At 47.2% G+C, this 21,942-nt stretch overlaps 1 protein-coding gene and 1 pseudogene across 7 annotated transcripts in view, besides 1 other annotated feature; one reads left to right on the plus strand and one right to left on the minus strand.

The window, feature by feature from the left end:
* The window catches only part of FKBP6 (FKBP prolyl isomerase family member 6 (inactive)), a 30,465-nt gene that overhangs the window by 7,811 nt on the left and 712 nt on the right, over window positions 1-21,942 (plus strand). For 6 of the 7 annotated variants that reach the window (NM_003602.5, XM_047420984.1, XM_047420985.1 and 3 more), the window contains 3 exons: window positions 4,667-4,861; window positions 5,302-5,411; window positions 6,836-6,928. In NM_003602.5, coding sequence (NP_003593.3) covers window positions 4,667-4,861; window positions 5,302-5,411; window positions 6,836-6,926 — 396 coding nt within the window. In that variant the 3' untranslated portion in view covers window positions 6,927-6,928. Of the gene's footprint in view, window positions 1-4,666; window positions 4,862-5,284; window positions 5,412-6,835; window positions 6,929-21,942 lie in introns of those variants that run through there. The other variant, XM_047420986.1, reaches the window with a different exon arrangement.
* Window positions 3,123-3,229, minus strand: RNU6-1080P (RNA, U6 small nuclear 1080, pseudogene; annotated as a pseudogene).
* Window positions 6,144-7,088: an enhancer, noted in NCBI's record as "H3K4me1 hESC enhancer chr7:72756115-72757059 (GRCh37/hg19 assembly coordinates)". NCBI's record gives its function as "activates a minimal SCP1, AML or CMV promoter by ChIP-STARR-seq in primed H9 embryonic stem cells {active_cell/tissue: H9 hESC(primed)}" and the evidence as "EXISTENCE:reporter gene assay evidence [ECO:0000049][PMID:30033119]".

Genomic DNA, 21,942 nt, shown 5'->3' on the forward strand with positions numbered 1-21,942 from the left:
ACCACTGTGTCTCCACCTTTTGCTCAGCATTGTCTGGGTCACACAAGTATGGGGTTTCCTGCTTTCAAGGGATTTGAATCTAGTTAGGGAGTTAAATGCAGCTCCAACAGCTAACCAATACCTATGGTCTGAATGTTTGTGTCTCCCCAAAATGTGTATGTTGAAACCTAATCATCCATGTGATATTAAGAGGTGAGGCCTCTGGGAGATGATGAGGTCATGAAGATGAAACCCTCTTACATGGAGTTAGTGGCCTTATAAAAGAGGTCCCTGAGAGCTGTCTTGTCCTTTCCACCATAAATTCTCGGCAGGAAAAAAGATGAACAAAGTGATCAGAACCTATTCAGGCCACAGTTGGTAGATTCCTAGTCAGAAACATAGGTTACATCTAAGGAATCATAGGTGATAGGAGGCGGCCAGATTCAGGAAGACATTCAAATATGTGTGGATGGATTTGGACTTGATGAAGTGGATGGCAGGGAACCACTGAGGAAGAGTGTGTTGATAAAAGTCATATTCGGGGAAGAGGCAGTAGTTGTGCTGGAGCTCGTGAAAACTCAAAATTTCAATTGTAAAATTTTCAGGAGTTTTGTGCCCTCGTTAATGTCACTTTGGTAGTTTGAAATCAGCTCTGGGAGGAATATTTACAGCATAGGAATAGGCAAATGCTACAAACAGGGGTCCACCTCCCCCGAGAGCTGGCTATTAAACATGTACCAGCACACCACTGTGTGCAGGACATGTCAAATGACAAACTTCATTTTAATGAGGCTCTGTTTCATGTTAGGCACCGTGCTGGGTGTGCTGCGGCTGAACCTGTTAACAGGGTCCAGGAATGTGTTAAAGCAGCTGTGAGTTGTGCAAATAGAAGAAAAAGCTCTGGAAGTACTTCCACAAAATGGATGGTTAGACTTGATGACGTTGTATATGATGAAGTTGTATATATAAGAGATCAAGGAAACAGAAGAAGGGAATGACTTGAAACTTCCTGGTCTGAGAAAAAAATTTAAACCAAGGAATAACTGGGAAAGAAATGTGTTACTTTCAATTTTGATTACTCATGGGAATGAGCAGGTAAGCAGGGCCTGTAGAAAACTGTTTCCAGCTGACAACTTGCTTCACAATTTCATTTGGGTATGAGAGCAGGGTTCAGGCGTGAGGTTCCAGCTGGTGATGTGAATGGGAGCTGAATCCATTCAGAAGGTATGGAGACAGTTGATGGGAACTTGCCTGGTGAATGCCCAGAGTTTAGAGATGGAAGGGAGGACCAAGGAAGGCTCATGACTTTCTGCCTGTGCTGCCATCTCCTGACACATTTTCTCCAGTTCTTCCATGTTCTTTTTTTTTTTTTTTTTTTTTTGAGACAGAGTCTCACTCTATCACCCAGGCTGGAGTGTACTGGCGCCATCTCGGCCTCACTACAACCTCCGCCTCCCAGGTTCAAGGGATTCTCCTGCCTCAGCCTCCCAAGTAGCTGAGATTACAAGCGCCTGCTACCACATCCAGCTCATTTTTTGTATTTTTAGTAGAGGTGGGGTTTCCATGTTGGCCAGGCTGATCTTGAACTCCTGACCTCAGGTGATCCGCCCGCCTCGGTCTCCCAAAGTGCTGGGATTCCAGGTGTGAGCCATCGTGTCCGGCCTTCCAGTTCTTCCATTCTACTTGCACCTTCCAAATGGAGTTCCAGGGAGTGCAGGCTCTGCCTTCATCCATTTTTTTTTGTTTTACTATTTTTTTTCTTGTTGTTGAGATATGATTCACATACCATAAAATGTGTGCTTTTAAAGTGTCCAATTCAGTGGTTTTTAGTATATTCACAAAGTTGTGCAGCCATTGCCACTATCTAATTCCAGAACATTTTCCTCACCCCGAAATGAAACTCACAATTCTTTGGCCTCAGATAGCCTCTGTTCTCCTTTGTTTCTATGGATTTGCCTATTCAGGACATATTTTGTAACTAGAATTGTCAAATATGTGTCATTTTGTGGCTGTCTTATTTCACTTAGCATGTTTTTGAGGTTTATCCATGTTGTAGCTTGTACAAACCTCATTCTTTTTTTGTTTTTTGTTTTTTATGAGACAGAGTCCCTGTTGCCCAGGCTGGAGTGCAGTGGCACGATCTCGGCTCACTGCAACCTCTGCCTCCCAGGTTCAAGCGATTCTCCTGCCTCAGCCTCCCAAGTAGCTGGGATTACAGGCACCTGCCACCACACCTGGCTAATTTTTGTATTTTTAGTAGAGACAGGGTGTCACCATGTTGGCCAGGCTGGTCTTGAACTTCTGACCTCAGATGATCCGCCCACCTCAGCCTCCCAAAGTGCTGGGATTACAGGCATGAGCCACCGCACCCGGACCCTCGTTCTTTTGTAAGGCTACTTTTCCGTTGGATGGCTCTGCTGCTTTTTGTCCATTCATCAGTTGGACATGTGGGTTGTTTCCACTTCGTGATTATTATGACTGATGCAGTGAGCGTTTATGTACAAGTTGTCGTGTGAACACGTTTTCAGTTTTCTTGGGTATGTGCCTAGGAGTGCAATTGCTGGATTGTGTGGGAACTGTCAAAATTTTTGAGGAACTGCCAAACTGCTTCCTACAGCAGCTGTACCATCTTACATTCCCACGAGTAATGTGCGAAGCTTCCAATTTCTCCACATCTTCACCAACACTTATTTTATATTTTTAAAGTTAGGCATCTTAGCGGATGTGAAGTGGTATCTCACTGTGGTTTTGATTTGCATTTCCCTGATGACTGATGACATTGGACATATTTTCATGCATTTAATGACTATTTGTCTATCTTCTTTGGAAAAATGTCTATTCGGAGTCTATGCATATCTGAAAGTTGGGTCATCTGTCTTTGTACTGAGGAGTAAATGTTGCTGCTGTGCTCTGGATACTACACCCTCAACAAACACAGGATGCGCAAATGCTCTATGCTGTTCTGTGGGCTGTCTGCACTTTCTTTGCAGTGTCCATTGAAACACAAAAGTTTTACATTTTGATGAAGTCTAATTCTTTGCTTATTTGTGCTTTTGGTGTTATATCTAAGAAACCATTTTCTAATCCAGGGTCACAAAAATTTACACCTATTTGTACTTCTAAAGTCTGATAGTTTTTTAAAAAAATATATGAAATGCTTTATGAATTTGCATGTCATCTTTGCACAGGGGCCATGCGATCTTCTCCCTGTCTTTCCAATTTTTAGTATATGTGCTGCCGAAGCCAGCGCAGAGTCTTAGAGTTTTAACTCCTACTTTTAGGGCTATGCTCCACTTTAGTTAATTTTTGCATCTAGTGCAAGGTAAACATTCTTTTGCATGTTGATAGTCTCTCGTCCCAGCATTATTTGTTGAAAAGACAGTTCTCTCCCATTGAATGGTCTGGACACCCTTATTGAAAATCAGTTGACTGTAGATATATAAATCTATTTCTGGACTCTGTGTTCAATTTCATTGATCTACATGTCTGTCCTTATGCCGGTGCTACACTGGCGTAATTACTGTAGCTTTAGGAAGTTTCGTGTTTTTTGTTTATTTTTTGTCTTTTAGTAAGTTTTGAAATGGGAAATATGAGTTCTCCAGCTTTGTCCTTTCTCAAGAGTATTTTGGCTATTCAGGGTCCTTTGAATTTCCATGTGACTCTTTTTTTTTTTTTTTTTTTGAGGTGGAGTCTTGCACTGTCACCTAGGCTGGAGTGCAGTGGTGTGGTCTCGGTTCACCACAACCTCCGCCTCCCATGTTCAAGTGATTCTCCTGCCTCAGCCTCCAATGTAGCTGGAATTACAGGCACCTGCCACCACACCCAGCTGATTTCGTATTTTTAGTAGAGATGGGGTTTCACCATGTTGGCCAGACGGGTCTCGAACTCCCGACCTCAGGTGATCTGCCCGCCTCAGCCTCCCAAAGTGCTGGGATTACAGGCATGAGCCACTGTGCCTGGCCACCATATGAATTATCTAATCAACTTGTCTGTGTCTACAAAAAAGGCTGTTGAAATTTTGGTAGGGTTGCATGAATATGTTGACCAGTTAGGAAAATATTACCATCTTAATATTGTCTTCCAATTAATGAACATGAGATATTTTTCCATTTTATTTGAATCATCTTTAATTTCTTTCAACAACCATTTTGTAGTTTTCAGTGTGCAAGTCTTTCAGTTGTTTTAAGTTTATTGCTACTTACTGTATTCTTTTTGATGCTATTGTAAATGGAGTTGTTTTCTTAATTTCATTTTTGGGTAGTTCGTTGCTAGAGCATAGAAATATACCTGACTTTTGGCCGGGCATGGTGGCTCACGCCTGTAATCCCAACACTTTGGGAGGCTGAGGCAGGTGGATCACGAGGTCAGGAGATCGAGACCATCCTGGCCAAAATGGTCATATTAAAATATGAAAAAATTAGCCGGGCATGGTGGTGCACACCTGTAGTCCCAGCTACTCAGAAGGCGGAGGTTGCAGTGAGCTGAGATCACTCCAGCCTGGCGACAGAACAAGACTCCGTCTGAAAAAAGAAGAAAAAAGAAATATACCTGACTTCTTATGTTGATCTTGTGTCTTGCAACCTGTAACAGCCGATTTTTAGCTCTGATAGTTTTTGCGTGTGGATTCTTTAGGGTTTTGTACATAAGACTGTTACTCCTCTTGACCATCTGCCTTCCCTCTCCACAGGCCCTATTGCTTCTGCGCCGGCGATCAGCACCCCCTGAAGAGCAGCACCTGGTGGAGGCCGCCAAGCTTCCTGTTCTCCTGAACCTGTCCTTTACATACCTGAAGCTAGACCGACCCACCATAGCCCTGTGCTATGGAGAGCAGGCTTTGATCATTGACCAAAAGAATGCCAAGGCCCTCTTCAGGTGTGGACAGGTGAGTTGGAAGCCAGTGACTTGGGAATAAACACCCAGGAAAAGGTAGTAGCAGTGCTCAACTCAGCTACTGCAAAAATGCTGTCTTTTTTTTTTTTTTTTTTTTTTTTAGACAGAGTTTTGCTCTTGTTGCCCAGGATGGAGTGCAGTGGCGCAAATTCGGCTCGCTGCAACCTCCGCTTCCTGGCTTCAAGCAATTTTCCTGCCTCAGCCTCTCAAGTAGCTGGGATTACAGGCATGCGCCATCACACCCAGCTAATTTTTGTAGTTTTAGTAGAGATAGGGTTTTGCCGTGTTGGCCAGGCTGGTCTGGAATCCCTGACCTCAGTTGATCCGCCCGCCTTGGCCTCCCAAAGTGCTGGGATTACAGGCATGAGCCACCGTGCCCAGCCAAATGATATCTTTTCTAACTGTGCTTTTAAAGTTCTCTCCTTGGGACAGGCTTGTCTTCTCCTGACTGAGTATCAAAAGGCCCGGGATTTTCTAGTTCGAGCCCAGAAGGAGCAACCCTTCAATCATGACATCAATAATGAGCTGAAGAAACTGGCTAGGTGAGCTGTGTTTGCAGGAGCATGAAGAGAGATGGGTGGGGTTGTGACTCTGGTCTGTCCCCCCACCCCCCCCAACAAAGGACAGTCTGGCGGTGTTGCCCAGAGTGTTAGGAGGCCGCCCCCTCTACAGCTGGGTTTCTGAAGTGCTCGGCCGTGCGCTGCACCAGCAGTTCCCAGCAAGCAGGTGAGACAGACTGCCAGACTATACATCTCCATCATCGCCCACCTTTCTGTTTCCCCTACCGCAAATAAACAACCCCTAGAGAGGTGGGAGGGTGTCACTTTTTTTTTTTTTTTTTGAGATGGAGTCCCTCTCTGTCACCTAGGCTATAGGGCAATGGCATGATCTCGGCTCACTGCAACCTCCGCGTCCCGAGTTCAGACGATTCTCCTGTCTCAGCCTCCAAGGTAGCTGGGATTACAGGCGTGTACCACCACATCTGGCTAATTGTTTTTGTATTTTAGTTGAGACAGGGTTTCACCGTGTTGACCAGGCTGGTCTCAAACTCCTGACCTCAGGTGATCCCCCCACCTCGTCCTTCCAAAGTGCTGGGATTACAGGCACAAGCCACCACAACTGGCCCCGGTGTCACTTAAAAAGAGTCTTCTGGTGCGCTCTTCCCTGCGTGCTCCACCAAGAACCACTGCTCCTAACCAAGTGCAGAAAGGCCCCTCGTAGGTCCTCATGTGACCAGAAACAGGCGTTTCGGGTCTGACTCATACCCATGGATTGACCTCCTTGTTACCCACGTGACTAAGCACACCAGTCTTTTAGTGATGTAATTTTTTCTCATTATAGAAGTTTTGTGTCCATTGTAGAAAACCTTGAAAATGTCTACCTATAAATAGGAGTCCCCCATAACTCCATCACTTGGTAATAGGTCCATGGTTTTTAAGGTATATCTTCTTCTGTAATGGTGAAATTCTCTACTTGTCTTAATATTAAACATTCGGTCCAGATTGCTAGTTAAAGCTTGCTTGGCATTAGTGTCTGAGATGTGAGTATCTCTTAGGTTACATTTCAAGCCTTTTAGGACTTGCCAGCAATTTCCTTTCTGGTATTTAAAAGTATCCTGTCAGATCTGGTCATTCTTTAGTGAGAAAATCAGGAGAGGTTAGAGGCTGCTGAGGGTGAGGGGTCGTTTGGCGAGACTCAGCCCGGAGCCTGGTGGCCAGAGGCACCTGCCCTTCAAGGCAGCTGTCCTTTCCAGTTAGGGGGTTTTGTCCAGGGGCTTGGCTCCTTGGCCAGCTGTGGGAGCCTTCCCTGCCTCCCCACCTCTCCAGCTTACTTCCATCCCTCCCAACTCAGTTTGAGTCCTGATAAATTTTCAGTGTTTCTGGATGTGAGTGGAGAATTCCAGCCACCAGATGTCACCTCCTCCAAACACAGACCTCCTCTAACAAGTGTGTATTTCCCTCTCCAGCTGTTACAGGGACTATGTGGATAAAGAGAAAGAAATGTGGCACCGCATGTTCGCGCCCTGTGGCGATGGTTCTACAGCAGGAGAAAGTTGAAGGTAATCAAAGGGCCAGGGTGGCACACAGGCTTCCGGATGGAGAAGCGTGCTGCTCTCCTCCACCCCCAAGTGAATGGTGGCTGTCTGCAGCTGAGGGTGGACGAGGGGTAGACAAGTTCCTTGCTGTAAAGAACAACACAACGGTAGTGCAGGATGCACGTGCTGCACGCCTACCTTTCCCGTGAGAAGAAAGTTCGCCCAGACCTGTGGGTTAAATGTATAGGTTCAGGGGGCCTTGAGCTATTTATTTATTTATTTGTTTGTTTGTTTGTTTGAGGCAGAGTCTCACTCTGTTGCCCAGGCTGGAGTGCAGTGGTGCGATCTCAGCTCACTGCAAGCTCCGCCTCCCAGGTTCAAGCGATTCTTCTGCCTCAGCCTCCTGAGTAGCCGAGATTACAGCTGTGAGCCGTGGCGCTCAGCCTAAATTTATTTTTTAAAAAACCTTTTTTTTTCATGTTTTATGTGAAACTCTCCTTGCAGTTGCTTGGAACATGAGACTGAGTAGAGTCATGAATGTGATGGTTGATAGAGCTGGGCTTTGACGTGTCAAGCTTCTGTTCATCTTCTTTCTCCTGAGAACTCGAAAGCCTCCAACTTGACTGTGTCTCTAACACATTACTAAAGCAGACAAGATCGCAGGGTGGGGATGGGCTGTGGCTCTTAAATTCTACTTTCTATTAGACTTAGAGATTTGAAGATGCTGAAAGCAACAGGGAGCGGAATATAGCATTCCTCCCAAGATCACACCTAGTAATTTTGCAGGCACAGGGCGGGAGTTCCCAAGCACATGAGATAACCCTCCAGTCTGAACCCTCCAGTCTGGTCTACTATTTAATAAAATTAATGGAAACAAAATCACCTGCCTGAAACACCTGCTTAGCTGCACAGATAACTCTGCTCTCTCGGAGAAGTCAAACAAGGAACAACAAGAAAACAGCTGCTGAACGGGCTCATGGTGATAAATCTCTCCTTTGTTGCTTCCTCCATCTCCCTACAAAAGGGGCTTGAGAGGAGGAGGCAGTGAAAAGGCCTATTCATCCCCGACATTTTCATAGCGGTCCATAAACTGCTGCTATCTGCACTTTCAGATGCGCCCACCAGCATCACAGGTAAATGTTGCCTTCGTCACTGATGCTGGCCATGTGAACCCTGGCCTTCAGGTCTTTCAGTGGCCTTTGGAGTACATATTTGCAGGTCTTCAGAACTGAGATGTGAGCCAGAGGACTTCCCTTGTTTGGTCACTTCTAGTATCCAGTAAAAATGAAGGGCAGTGACTGTTTGCCAAACATTTTGGACTGTGACCCCACAAGTCCTGTCATGAATGAAGACCCAGGTCTGCCAGGGTCCATCCCAGACAAGGGCTTGGGCAGCCCAGCTGGGCAGCAGTTTTCCTCGCCATCATGTTTGCTTCCCAGCCTTTTCAGTCTGTAGGACTGGAGGCTGCTGATCTTCAGATGCTTTCCCCCAGATTTCCAACTCCAGCATTTATCTTACCATCAGCAATGACTGTATTTGTGTTCTAAAGTAGCCACCACTGTCATATTGCCACTGCTGTCACAGTTGTGATAAGTTTTAGCTTTTGTGTCTTTGCTCTCCCTGCTCCCCTTTTTTTCTGTAGTATTTGAGGCCTAGTCATTTAAAAGAAGCTAAAAATCCAGTCATCTTGACAACCTAGTTGTCACTAACCAGGACAATTTTTTTTTTTTTAAGGGTCTCCCTCTGTCACCCAGGCTGGAGTGCAATGGCACAATCTTGGCTCACTGCAGCCTCTGCCTCCCAGATTCAAGTGATCCTCCTGCCTCAGCCTCCCGAGTAGCTGGGACTGCAGGTGTGAGCCACCACGCCTGGCTAATTTTTGTATTTTTAGTAGAGACAGGGTTTCACCATATTGGTCAGGCTGGTCTCAAACTCCTGACCTCAGGTGGTCCTCCCGCCTTGGCCTCCCAAAGTGCTGGGATTACAGGCCTGAGCCACTGCACCTGGCTTAGGACAATTTTAACTTTTGTTCTTTTCATCTTAGATGTTAGATACCACTGACTTGTAAGATTACTTCTGGAGGAATGAGTGTTCTCTTAAGTATTAGTTATGTGCTCTAAGCCTCTGACTATAGTAGACAGTATGCCTTTTCCATCTTTGCATTTTCTAGCTTCTGGAGCCATGCCAGGTGCACGATTGGTGCTCAGGAAATGTTGGTTGGACTAAGTGTGAAATAGCCGAAGCAACAGACCAGCCTCTAATAAAACATCCTCCAGGCTGGCTCTGGGATTGGCTGTTGGACCCTTGGTATTGCCAGGGACAGAAACCTATCTTTAGCATCAGCCAGAAAAAAAAAAAAAAAAAAAAAGATTTGCAGAAGGGGTCCTGGGAGTGGCTCACAGAGTTGAGGAGGAGTTTGGCAGTCCTTGGGCAGACAGTGACCAGGCAGCTCTGAGGGCCTTAGGGACTCAGTCTCCCCTCGGCTTTGTTTTCTCCCCCTGTAGGGAGTGCCCATACATCCCTTTCTGCAACCTCCTCCCTAATGGAGTGAGAGTTCTGTACCCTAAAAGTCCCTCCTCTTCCTGCCCCAAACATAACTCTTCAGTTTGAAAGATCCTGGGCAGGACTCCGGCCTGGTTGGGGGTATGTAGAACCCCATGAATGGGAGTTTGTGTTTTGTCCTTCCTATCCTGACATGCTGGTATCTGAGGCCCTTGTGATCATTTTACTGTGTCTGGAAAGGAGCTGTGAAGGGAGCTCTATAGCTATTTTCAGGCATTTAAATGGTTAACATACAACAGGTGAAATTTGTTCTGTGGTTTCCAAAGGTCAGCACCAGTAAGCTGACACAATAGGAAGACAGAATCTGACCTGATAGGAGATTTACCAGTCAAATGTCCTGCCATGAGTTCTCCCACCATGGAGTACACAGTGGAAGGGGCCACTTTTGACTGCTTTTGGGGAAACATCTGTTCCCGGGCCACTCCACTTTGTTCCACGGGGCTGTGGGGCATCTCGGGAGCTGGTGCAGTCCCTGTTAGGGTCTATCCGAGCAGAGCTGGAGGGCCTGAGAGGTGGTTAAAGGGAGAAATTAGATCACCTTCCTGGTCGTTTTTACCATCAGGTAATTGCAGACCTTCAAGGCAGAGGTAGCAGCTCCCATCCCCAAGGCACACAGCAGAGATGAAATATGACATCCTATACTTAGCATCAAAAAACACCACCCGAGGAAAGGAAGTAGCAGGAGGGGCCTCGTTCAAGAGCAGACAGATTTTGTTGCCTGCTGTTCCCAAACATACCAAATGCAAGGAATGGCTGCCAGAGGAAAGTGTTCCGAATGGGGGAAAGCCATGCCTGCCCTGCCCCGCGTGGCCCGCCTTCACACTGTCTCCTGCCATCCCTGTGGGGAGCCGACTGTTGGTGGGCACTCTAGATGCTATGTGGCATATAGAGAGAGTTCCAGTACCACTTCTGCAGCCCTGACCTGCAGGGATTGGGGGTCTAAACAGGGACAACAAGATAAGTCCATTAAATCACAGTGTTCAAGAGTGGGCTGTGAGGGAGCACCCCTGATCAGAAAGAGGCTTTGCTGAGCTAGGCCTGGGGCATGGGCCCAAGGGGCCCCAGGAGGGAGTTGTGAGAGGTCCTGATATTGTCCTTTCATTTGGGGCCTCCTTGGAATGTGGGTGGCATTCTATAGGGCATTATAGAGGAGGAGAAGACCTGGCCAGAGCTGAGCTGCTCTGAGGGGCTAAAGGGGCAGCGTGGGGACACATTTAAAGTGGCAGGACCATCAGGTGGCAGGTGTCTGAGTAAGAGGTGATGGCAGCCTGGACGTGAACCTACTGGCAAGAGCGGAAGGGTGGCAGGAGTATGCGGCCTCCCATCTGGAACTGACAGGAGGGTATTCTCTGTGAAGAGTTCTCCTGACAAACCAGACCTTACCTGAGGGAGCATGACCATAGTGCCTGAGGGGCTGAAGATGCCCTAACCGAAGTTACTGATTGTGGAGGAGGGCAGCTTTAGTGACATGTCAGCCATCTGCTAACAGAGGTGGGTGGGCAGAGGCCAGAACCAGGAGTCCAGGGCTGGTCCCCATGTACCAGGAGTGACTGGGAAAACTCCATGAGGGGCGGCCAGAACTTGAGGGAGTCTTGGGTTACCTGGCAGGACCAGGGGTGCAGGGCGAGGTGACCACCCACACGGTCAGCTTACCTACGCGTGGCTTTCATTCTTTTGCTCTTGGTTTATCATAACATTTTTCTTCTAGGTTGTTTTGCTAGTATTGCCTAGCATTTATACTGTTTTCTTAGTGTATTTTTATTAATTTTGGTCAAAATTTTTATTCATATTTTAAATGCCAGGTATTCTTCTACATGTTTCACATGTGTTAATATTTTTAATGTAAGATCTGCATAATGTAGATATGATCCCCATTTTACAGTTGATGAATTAGATGTGAAGAAGCTATGTAATTGCCAAGGTTGCAGAGCTCCTAAGTGATAGAGCCAGAGTCAAACGCTGCATATACACAGGGAACCCGAACTGAATTTCAGTTTCTTCTGGAGAGTCTTCCACAGGGCTCAATACTATGTTTCTATTACCACTTCTTGATTTATGTTTTGGATATTTATCTGTTGACTTCCTGCTATAATATAACTCTTTCTTCTCTTACATTACTACTTGTAGATCCTCTGTTAGATTATTATAACAAAAATAATTCAATACTGATGTTCTTGGCTTCATACAGCTAAAGACAGTATTTCTTGTGCTCCACTTTGTTTTTAGAGACAGAGTCTCGCTCTGTCACCCAGGCTGGGGTGCAGTGGCATGATCATAGCTCACTGCAGCCTCAACTTCCCAGGCTCTAGCAATTCTCCCTCCCCAGCCTCCTGAGCAGCTGGGACCACAGGCATGTGCCACCACGTCCAGCTAATTTTTTTATTTTTTGTTGCGACAGGGTCTCACCATGTTGCCCAGGCTGGTCTGGAACTCCTGGGCTCAAGTGATCCTCCCTCCTTGGCCTTCCAGAGTGCTGAAATTATGAGCGTGAGCACAGCACCCAGCCATATCTGTTTATTCTTGATTCATCTAAAATTACACAGTAGCATGTCCAGGTACTCCCTGTTGCTCAAGTCCTTTAGATAGGTCCCTTACTTCTAGAGGCTTAAGCTTTTAAGAGCCGAGAAATTCCTCTATACTATTTCTTAAATCACGTCTTCCTCGTTATTCCCTGTCATCTTGTTATGGGACACCTATTGACTGGAAGTTGGACCTCCTTCTATTCTGTCTCCTTAAAATCTTTTTTTTCTCCCTTGTGAAATGTTCTTAATTTTCCAACTCTTCCATCTTCATTTCATCAATCAAATATTTGAATCTAAGAGCTCTTCTCAGATTTGTCTTTTTCATAATGCCACACCTTTCCCCCCCTTCTTTGAAAAATCTCAAAGTTACATAACGAATAATACTAAGATTCCCCGATGTGCTCAACGTCTGGCTTTAACAATTACCAAGGTAAAGCCAAGGTTTCCTTCTAGGCTTCCGTCCACATCCTCCCTGTATAGCAGGGAAGCCTATTTCCTTCTATACTCTCCTTCGCAACACTCAGGACTTCCAGAACATTTCACTTCTGACACCAGACATGTAGGGATTTTCCCCACACCAACCAATTCTGAAAGCAGCTCAGTGTCCTACATTACAGCTCTGACACTTGACCTGGACTTAGTGCATACTCCACAGGTTAAGGGCTCATTTCCACAAGACTGACCCCATTTCAGACTCCAGTGACAATTCCAGGTTGTCCCTGTGCTTCTTACTAACTGGTTATACATCAGAGGTTCCCATACCTGTTCCTTTGGGTTGAGTCATCTGGAATGGTGCTCAGAACTCAGAAACACCTACTTATAGTCACTAGTTTATTACAGAGGTTTTTAAAAGGATACAAATGGGCCAGACATGGTGGCTGAGGCCTGTAATCCCAGCATTTCGGGAGGCCAAGGTGGGCAGATCGCTTGAGGTCAGGAGTTAAAGACCAGCCTGGGCAACATGGTGAAACTCCTTCTCTACCAAAAATGCCAAAATTACCTGGATGTGGTGGTGTGTGCCCGTGGTCCCAGCTACTTGGGAGGCTAAGGCAGGAGGATTGCTGGAGCCTGAAAAGTCAAGGCTGCAGTGAACCCAGATCACGCCACTGCACTCCAGTCTGGGTGACAGAGTGAGACCCTGTCCCAAAAAAAAAAATTTAAAAAGGGTGGCCAGGTAGGGTGGCTCACGCCTGTAATCCCAGCACTTTGGGAGGCTGAGGCAGGTAGATCACCTGAGGTCAGGAGTTCGAGACCAGCCTGACCAATGTGGAGAAACCCCGTCTCTACTAAAAATGCAAAATTAGCCAGGCGTGGTGGCACATGCCTGTAATCCCAGCTACTTGGGAGGCTGAGGTAGGAGAATCGCTTGAACCCAGGAGGTGGAGGTTGCGGTAAGCTGCACACCACTGCGCTCCAGCCTGGGCAACAAGAACGAAACTCCATCTCAAAAAATAAATAAAAAGGCCAGGTGCAGTGGCTCACGCCTGTAATCCCAGCACTTTGGGAGGCCGAGGCAGGCGGATCACGAGGTCAGAAGATCGAGACCATCCTGGCCAACATGGTGAAACCCCGTCTCTACTAAAATACAAAAAAAAAAAAAAAAAAAAATACAGGCGTGGTGGCGCACATCTGTAGTCCCAGCTACTTGGGAGGCTGAGGCAGGAGAATCTCTTGAACCCAGGAGGCAGAAGTTGCAGTGAGGTCAGATTGCACCACTGCACTCCAGCCTGGCAACAGAGCAAGACTCCGTCTCAAAAAAAAAAAAAAAAAAAAAAAAAGATGAAGAGCCACATGGGGTGGCGCACAGGGCATGGTGTGAGGGAAGGGATGCGCCAGCACCCACACGTGTTCAGCAGCCTGGAAGCTCTCCAAACCCTGTTCTTTCTGGCACAATTGGTTGAATGGTTGGCCATTGGTGATTGCCAGTTGAAGGTTGCTTCGGCCCTTCCCTTGTCCCATGGTTGGTTCCCTGGCAACCAGCCCCCATTCTGAGGCTGTCCGAGAATCCCCAGCCACCAGTCATGTCATTAGCATACAAAGAAACACCCATCATTTCAGAGATTCTGGGGGTTTTAGGAACTGTGTGTCAGGAAATGGATAGAGACCAAATATATATTTCTGACTATGTCACAGTCCACCCCCTGCTGTCCGGCCACAGACCCCTTAATAGCAAAACGATGTGCAGCTTAAGAGGTACTGGCATATTACTAGAATCCCATGTAGCCATGAATAAAGAGTCCAGTCCATCGTCATGTGGGCCCAGAGTGGAAGTGTCATCCCCTGTCTTTAGTGCTTTATCATGTCTGTAAACCCACTTAACTTTCCTGACATTCTTGTGAGGAAGAATGATTGTTTCTGCCTCAGATTGGGGAAGGAGTAAAGCTTAGAGAACCAGGACCCTTTCCCTGAGGAGGCCTCTGTGTGTATAAACAACTGAGTGTTTTCATTGGATTTGAAATGTTAAGCCCCAGATGATGCCTGAAGCCTCAAACATATTCAGCTGCTGTATTCAGGTGGTGCGTGACCCCGAAGCGGCCATGCACTTTTATCCTTCTCTCAGATGTTGAGGAAATTCCCCCCTCCTTTGCTTTTTCCGTTGAAGAGAAGCTGAAGCCTTTGGGCTGTAGAGTATTGAGCCCTGCTACTTGGCCAGCCTTGGGGAAAGAGGATCTTAACAGACTAAAAACAATGTTTTCTGGAAAGTCAGGAGGCCCAAGTGGAAGTAAAGGCAAGGTTGTGGAGAGTACTCTCTGGTTGGTCGAGATTCTGGGATTTGGTCCTGGCTCAGAGCTGGCCTGAGGTGAGCCCCGGAGCAGCGGGCCCTCAGCCCAGTGCCAATGCCGAGGCCACAGGAGGCCTCTGGGGCCAGGGGTTCCCTGGTTCCAAAATAGCTTTCCTGTGACCCGGCTGTCCTGCTCAGTTGCCAGGAAACCCCGGGAGCAGATCATCATCTCTCTCGGTATGTGACTGGATCTAGGCAGGGAATCTGTTTGATCCCCTTCTTCCCAAAGAGATTAAGAAATATCTAGTGGTGAGTCTCTCAAAGTTACTTCGTGCATCCAGTGAGACACTGCTGAGTCCTGAATAAAGACTTGTTTAAATATATTTTTGTAATTATTTTTTTTTCCTTAATTTTTTTAGATGGAGTCTTGCTCTGTCACCCAGGCTGGAGTACAGTGGCGCGATCTCAGCTCACTGCAACGTTCGCCACAGACATGCGCTACCACTCCCAGCTAAATTTTGTAGTTTTGGTAGAGACGGGGTTTCACCATGTTGGCCAGGCTGGTCTCGAACTCCTAACCTCAAGTGATTCATCCGCCTCAGCCTCCCAACGTGCTGGGATTACAGGCGTGAGCCACCGCACCTGGCAATTTTTGTAATTAATTTTTCTGACTTTCCTTCCCTATGCCTCTACTTTTTTTTTTCCCCTCCTCTAAATGGCGTTGCATCTTCTGCCGGGCATCTGGGCCAGGAAGGCATTCTCTTATTGTCAGATGAAGGCCATGCCCTGTTCCAGGCAAACTGTGTGACCTGGGCTCTTAATCTTCCACGTACCTGTGAAGTGCCTTTTCTCCCAGCTCTGGAGGTGTCCCTGAAGTCATCCCTTTGTTGTGTGGCTATAAATACCTCAACTTCGGTGGCTGCCTTTTCATCATACCCCTTCCTGGGAAGGCATTTCCTCTGGAAGGGTTGCTTTGGCCCTTCATTCCCTCTCCACATCCTCTCTTGGCAGCCGTAATAGGCCTCAACCCTGCTTCCTGCTAAGATTTACTGTTGTGGATTCTGTGTTCTTTGCGGATGAGGTACGAATGACAGCTACTAAGTTCAATCCTGGAGATAACTGGGTTCCTTTTGCTGATCGTCCACAATCATGGAAGTGCCCTTTATGATTCATGATGGGGTTGAAAGACAGAACATTTGGATCCTCAGTTTCATCTCTTGCTATGACATTAGCCAAGTCATTTCACCTCTCTGGGCCTTGGTTGCATTGTCTGCAGGGTGAAGCTGAATCACTTTTTTATTTTAAAAGAGAAACAAGGTCTCCTATGTTACTCAGGCTAGAGTGCAGTGGTGCAGTTATAGCTCACTGCAGCCTCCTGGGCTCAGGCAGTCCTCCTGCCTCAGCTTCTTGAGTAGCTGGGACTACAAGTGTGTGCCAGCATGCCCTGCTGATTTTTTTTATTTTGTAAGATGGGGTCTCATTATATTTCCTAGGCTGATCTCGATCTCCTGGCCTCAAGCGATCCTCCTGCCTCGGCCTCCCAGAGTGCTGGGATTATAGGCATGAGCCACCGCGCCCAGCCATGGAGCAGTCACATCTTTAAGATCACTGTGGAGTTGTTTATGCTTCATGAAGACCGTCAGATATCGGCTTAGTCTGTTTTTAATTTCTTGCGTTCATTAGGTGCATAAGCCCTGCCTCCAAGCATACATAATCCCAAACACCAACCTGGATAATTAAGTGTACAGGTAGTGAGTGAAAGAAGTGAGCCTAAGCAATAAGGAATTGACATCAAGCCAGTGCCTTGTACCTTCTAGGGAGAGCATGAGTCCCCGCCAGCTTTGCTGGCTGACCCCCATTCTGCAGGTGCTGATCCTGTTCTCAAGACCTTTGGTTGTAGCTGTTATTGACTGTCATACTTTTGATGCTCCCCTACGCTCCCAAGCAGCCACCGACCCAGGGTGAAGCTGAGATGAACTGGGGTGAGCCTCAGAGGTTCAAGAATCCAGAGAAGGGTTTTCAAATCTAATAGATAAGTGAAGAGCTATGAGCAAAAGTTCTCTCTAGCTCAGAGGTCACTCAGACATTCACAAGGTGAGAAGGATGTGGTCTGCCGTCACTGTGAGGGCACCCACAGCAGTCATTGTCAGCATCAGTCCAAACAGAAAAGGCAGCAAGAGGCAGACAGAGGGGCATCTCCAGGATGTTTGGCATCCTGAGGTCATACAGCTTCATTTTTTTGGTGAGCTGAATATCATGGCCATGAATGCGAGCAAATCTGCACTAACTTCCTTTTGCTTCTCCAAGAAATGGCCTAGAGAGGCTGCCTGCATTTCTTGGCTAGTGGCCCCTTCCTCTTCTTCAAAGACAGCGGCATGATATCTTCCAATATTTCTCCCTCTCTCCCTTTCTGTCTCTCCCTCTCTCTCACCCTCTCTGTGAATCTCTCATTCAGCCCCTCTCTCCCCTCTGCTTCTGTCATTTTGTCTCCTCCTTTTTCTGACCCTCCTGCCTCCCTTTTACGAGGATCTGATTACATTGGGCTGACCAAGATAATCGCCCAGCTCAAGATCCTTCATTTAACCACAGAATCCCTTCTGCCATGTATGGTAATGTATTCGTGGGTTCCGGGAATTGGAACAAGGATATCTTGGGGGGCATTTTCCCATCTCTCATACTCTGTTACAGATCAGCATCTGTGAGGGACTACACATCTTGCCAATGCAGAGATAACTCAGCACTCTGCATCCTCAGCATTCTCGGCTTAATCCTTTCCGTCCCAGATGAGATCATCCTGACAGCCGTCTTTCAGAACATTTCCTTTCTCGTGCTCCCTTCTGGTGGCTGGGGCCTGATGGACACAGCTCACCTCATCTTTCTGCTGTTTGTTTACTGCACTTGAGGGTTGCTGTACTGTTTACATTGTTAACAAATGCTAGGTTTGCTACAACCCCACATCAAGCAAGTCCGTTGGTGCCATTTTTCCAACAGCATGTGCTGAATTTATTTCTCTGATTTACATTTTGGTAATTATCACAGTATTTCTTTTTTTCTTCTTTTTTTTTTTTTTGAGGCAAAGTCTCGCTCTATTGCCCAGCCTGGAGCACAGTGGCACGACCTCAGCTCACTGCAACCTCTGCTTCCCAGGTTCAAGCAATTCTTCTGCCTCAGCCTCCCCAGTAGCTGGGATTACAGGCGTGCGCCACCACGCCCGGCTTATTTTTGTTATTTTTAGTAGAGACGAGGTTTTACCATGTAGGCCAGGCTGGTCTCAGACTCCTGGCCTAAAGTGATCCTCCTGCCTTGGCCTCCCTAAACCTTGTTTTTAAACAAGCGTGGCAGTTTGGATGGCACTTTGACCCTTCTTTGACCATGTATCACAGCACAGTGGCAGCTGGTGGTGGTGAGCTGCAGTTGTTGGAGGAAGTGCAGCAGAGCCATGCTGTGAGGCCTGGCCCACCCCCAAAACCGGGAGGTACCTGCAGGCGCTCTCATTCCATGTCAGCCTGGAAAGGGTGGGCTCCAGACCACTCAGCTCCATGCGCATTCTCATGGGACTAGGTGGCCAGTTGTGACAGTGGGGAAGTAATCGCACTCCCTGCAGAGGGACGTGGCCAAGGGAGGAGCAGAGAGCTGGGCTGGTGGAGCACGAGGGTGGCTGCAGGAAGTGCAGCAGTCAGCATGGAGTGGCCGCCAGAGAGCCAGGGCCACAGGTTGGGTGGGGAGAAGCAGGTCAGGGAGTCCCTGCAATGAGGGTTGGCTCTGAGAAGCCGCCTGGCAGGAGTGGAAGGGGCAGGTGGAGGACCCAGCAGGCCGGAGGACTGCCGCCTTGCGGGCTGGCCAGAGTGTCACAGCAGAGTCCCAAGGGGTGAGGACTCCTCAAAAAATTTTCCCCCTCAGTTGATATTTTTGGAGATATCCAGATTAGGTTCTTAAGATTGGCTGAGTAATGCATTTTGGGAAGGGGAACCAGTTGAATGGTTTCAGGAAGGTCTTTCATTCTCCACGTTTACTATGTACAGCCTTGGTTCATCTGCTGGGATTTTGAAGAGGCAGCCATAACTTTGATCAGTGTTTTTGAAGGGCTGAGTGACCCATGCAGGGTTCCAGGGTCTTCTCACCAGATGATGTTCATGGCTGAGTTTACTCTAGTTCCCCGTTGCAGGGTACAGGGAAGTGCTTGAGGCTGGGGCTGCGAGGCAGGGCTGGCACACGACACCCACCGCCACCGTGGGAACGGCACCTGCTGAGCCTTGATCCTCAGCTCTTTGTCCTCCGATTTCCGACAGAAACATCCTGGGCTCTACAGCCTCCAGCCCGTGGCTCCGCGATTACATCACTCCTCTGTCTTCTCTGTTACATTTCACACCCTTCTTTGATTACTGCTTATTATGTTGTGCGATTATGGTGGACACCACTGGCATTGCTGCTTGGGTTTCTAGTTCACAGTCCCTGTGCCTTTTCCGAGGCCTGGGGCCCACCCGCCGTGGAAGCAGCCTGGTTCGTAGGAATGGATTCAGCTGGAGTCGGCTGTGGACCTTTGTCTGTGTTCGCTGCCTCAGCCTGACTGCCATTGTCTTTGTCGATCTCCGGACTTATTTCTCCTTGAGCCACGGATACAGCTTTTTTCTGACTTTGCACCTCTGTGCGATACATGTATTGGGTTTTCAAAATGAAATGTGAGCTGAGCTTTCCTATGTTGGCGCATTCTCGTTTATGCTAAAGTGTTACTTTTTATTGGCTCCGATTTGAAAATTCAACTACCTGAACCTCGTGGGATCCCTTCGTCTGTAGGGAGCTTGAAGTTGATCTCCCCCCATCTGCATTCATGCCTGGAGAATATTGATTTTAGGGCTTATTCCTAAAGTCATTTCATGGGACACACCCTAGATCAAAACTTTCTTTTTTCACTTGATTATTATTAAACTTGTCATTATGGACATTTTCAAACGTCTCCAAAGGTAAAAAAAAAAAAATGATAACATGATCACTACCCATGTATCATTACCCAGGCTTGACAGTGAACATCTTTCTGCTGTTCCTGTACCCACTCTCCAATTTTTTGGTAGTACTTAATTTTGAATTATAAAAATGCCACATGCCAGCCGGGTGCGATGGCTCACACCTGTAATCCCAGTACTTTGGGAGGCCGAAGCAGGCAGATCACGAGGTCAGGAGATCGAGACCATCCTGGCTAACACAGTGAAACTCCGTCTCTACTAAAAATACAAAAAATTAGCTGAGTGTGGTAGCGGGCGCCTGTGGTCCCAGCTTCTCGGGAGGCTGAGGCAAGGAAGTGGCTTGAACCCGGGAGGCGGAGCTTGCAGACAGCAGAGATCGTGCCACTGCACTCCAGCCTGGGCGACAGAGCAAGACTCTGTCTCAAAAAAAAAAAAAAAAAAAAAAAAAAAGTGAGTGTATATGTAACTTGTCCACAAAAAGAATTATACATTTTGTACTAGAATATATTTTTATTGCATTTTGAGTGTTTTCTAAGTTAACACAAAGAGAACTACGTCGTTTTTAAGAAGTGGCTGGATAGCATTCCATCCTGTCAGGATATGGAAATGGTTTTCACAGTGATTAGTAGGCAGGTAGGTAGGTAGAGATTAGATAGACACACAGAAACATGGTCATGGAGCTATCCTCACGCCTGACTTTCCTGTGACAGTCAAAGTCCTATCACTGGTTGTGATGGGTGTGTCTTTGCCTGAACTAGGTCATGCTAAACTGACCTCTCCAGTGGCTGTACCAGTTTGTTCTTGGTAGTGTCTGAGAGATTCCATTCCGTCGCTTTGCCATCATTTGGATTGCTAGACTTTTTAATATTTGCCAGGTTGGTGTATCTCAAATAGGATCTCATTACTAGCATTAGCAGTTCCCTGACCAGGTCTCTGTTCACATGTTTCCAGACTGAGGTGGCCTTTCTGTAAATTGCCTAATTGTTTCTCTATAACCAAACACCTTTCTGATGTTTTTAAGTTATTTTTGATAACTCTGTCATTAATTCTGTGAGTTCTATCAGCAGTTTCACTGCATGCATCAGGTATGTGATACCATATGCCGGTAATGGTCATTTTGTCTTCTCCTCTTGTATCTTTTTTGTTTCCCCTCACAAGACAGAGTTTCACTCTTGTCACCCAGGCTGGAGTACAGTGGCGTGATCTCGGCTCACTGCAACCTCTGCCTCCTGGGTTCAAGCGATTCTCCTGCCTCAGCCTCCCGAGTAGCTGGGATTACAGGTGCCTGCCACCACGCCCAGCTAATTTTTGTATTTTTAGTAGAAACGAGGTTTCACCATGTTGGCCAGGCTGATTTTGAACTCCTGACCTCAGGTGATCCCCCCCAGCTTGGCCTCCCAAAGTGCTGGGATTACAGGCATGAGCCACTGTGCCTGGCCCTCCTCTCATGTCTTATTCAGAGCCTGATGGTGCGGTGCATGCTTCTAGAACAGTAGCGATGGGTGTGCCTCATGACCGTAATGGAGCTGCTGCTCGCTCCACCGTTAAACACCATGCTGACTTTGGCTGAGCTGTATTTTTTTCTTATCATGTTATGGAAATGTTTGTTTGTTTTTGTTTGGTTTGGTTTTTTTTTTTTTTTTTTTTTTTGAGACGGAGTCTCACTCTGTCACTCAGGCGATCTTGGCTCACTGCAACCTCTGCCTCCCGGGTATAAGCAATTCTCCTTGCCTTAGTCTCCCAAGTAGCTGGGATTACAGGCACCAGCCACCACGCCTGGCTAATTTTTGTATTTTTAGTAGAGATGGGGTTTAATCATGTTGGCTAGGCTGGTCTCGAACTACTGATGTCAAGTGATCCGCCCGCCTCAGCCTCCCAAACTGCTTTGATTACAGGTGTGAGCCAATGCGCCTGGCACCACCTCAGTCTTTACTTACTTCTGTCCCGTTGCCTGTGGTTCTGGAAGTCTGACTGGAAAGGGGTCTGTTCCTGACACCCCACCTCCTCTTCCCTCTCTCAGGTGCTGGCTCCTTTGGTTGTATTGGGGTAGGGAGGAAAGAGAAGGGAAAGGGTAGCTCACGCCTGTAATCCCAGCACTTTGAGAGGCCGAGGCAGGCAGATCACTTGAGGTCAGGAATTCGAGACCAGCCTGGCCAACATGACGAAATCCTGTCTCTACTAAAAATGCAAAAAAAAGTATCCAGGCGTGGTGGTGCGTGCCTGTAATCCCAGCTACTCAGGAGGCTGAAGCAGGAGAATCACTTGAACCCG

Source organism: Homo sapiens, chromosome 7 (assembly GCF_000001405.40).
Source record: "Homo sapiens chromosome 7, GRCh38.p14 Primary Assembly".
NCBI lineage: Eukaryota > Metazoa > Chordata > Mammalia > Primates > Hominidae > Homo > Homo sapiens.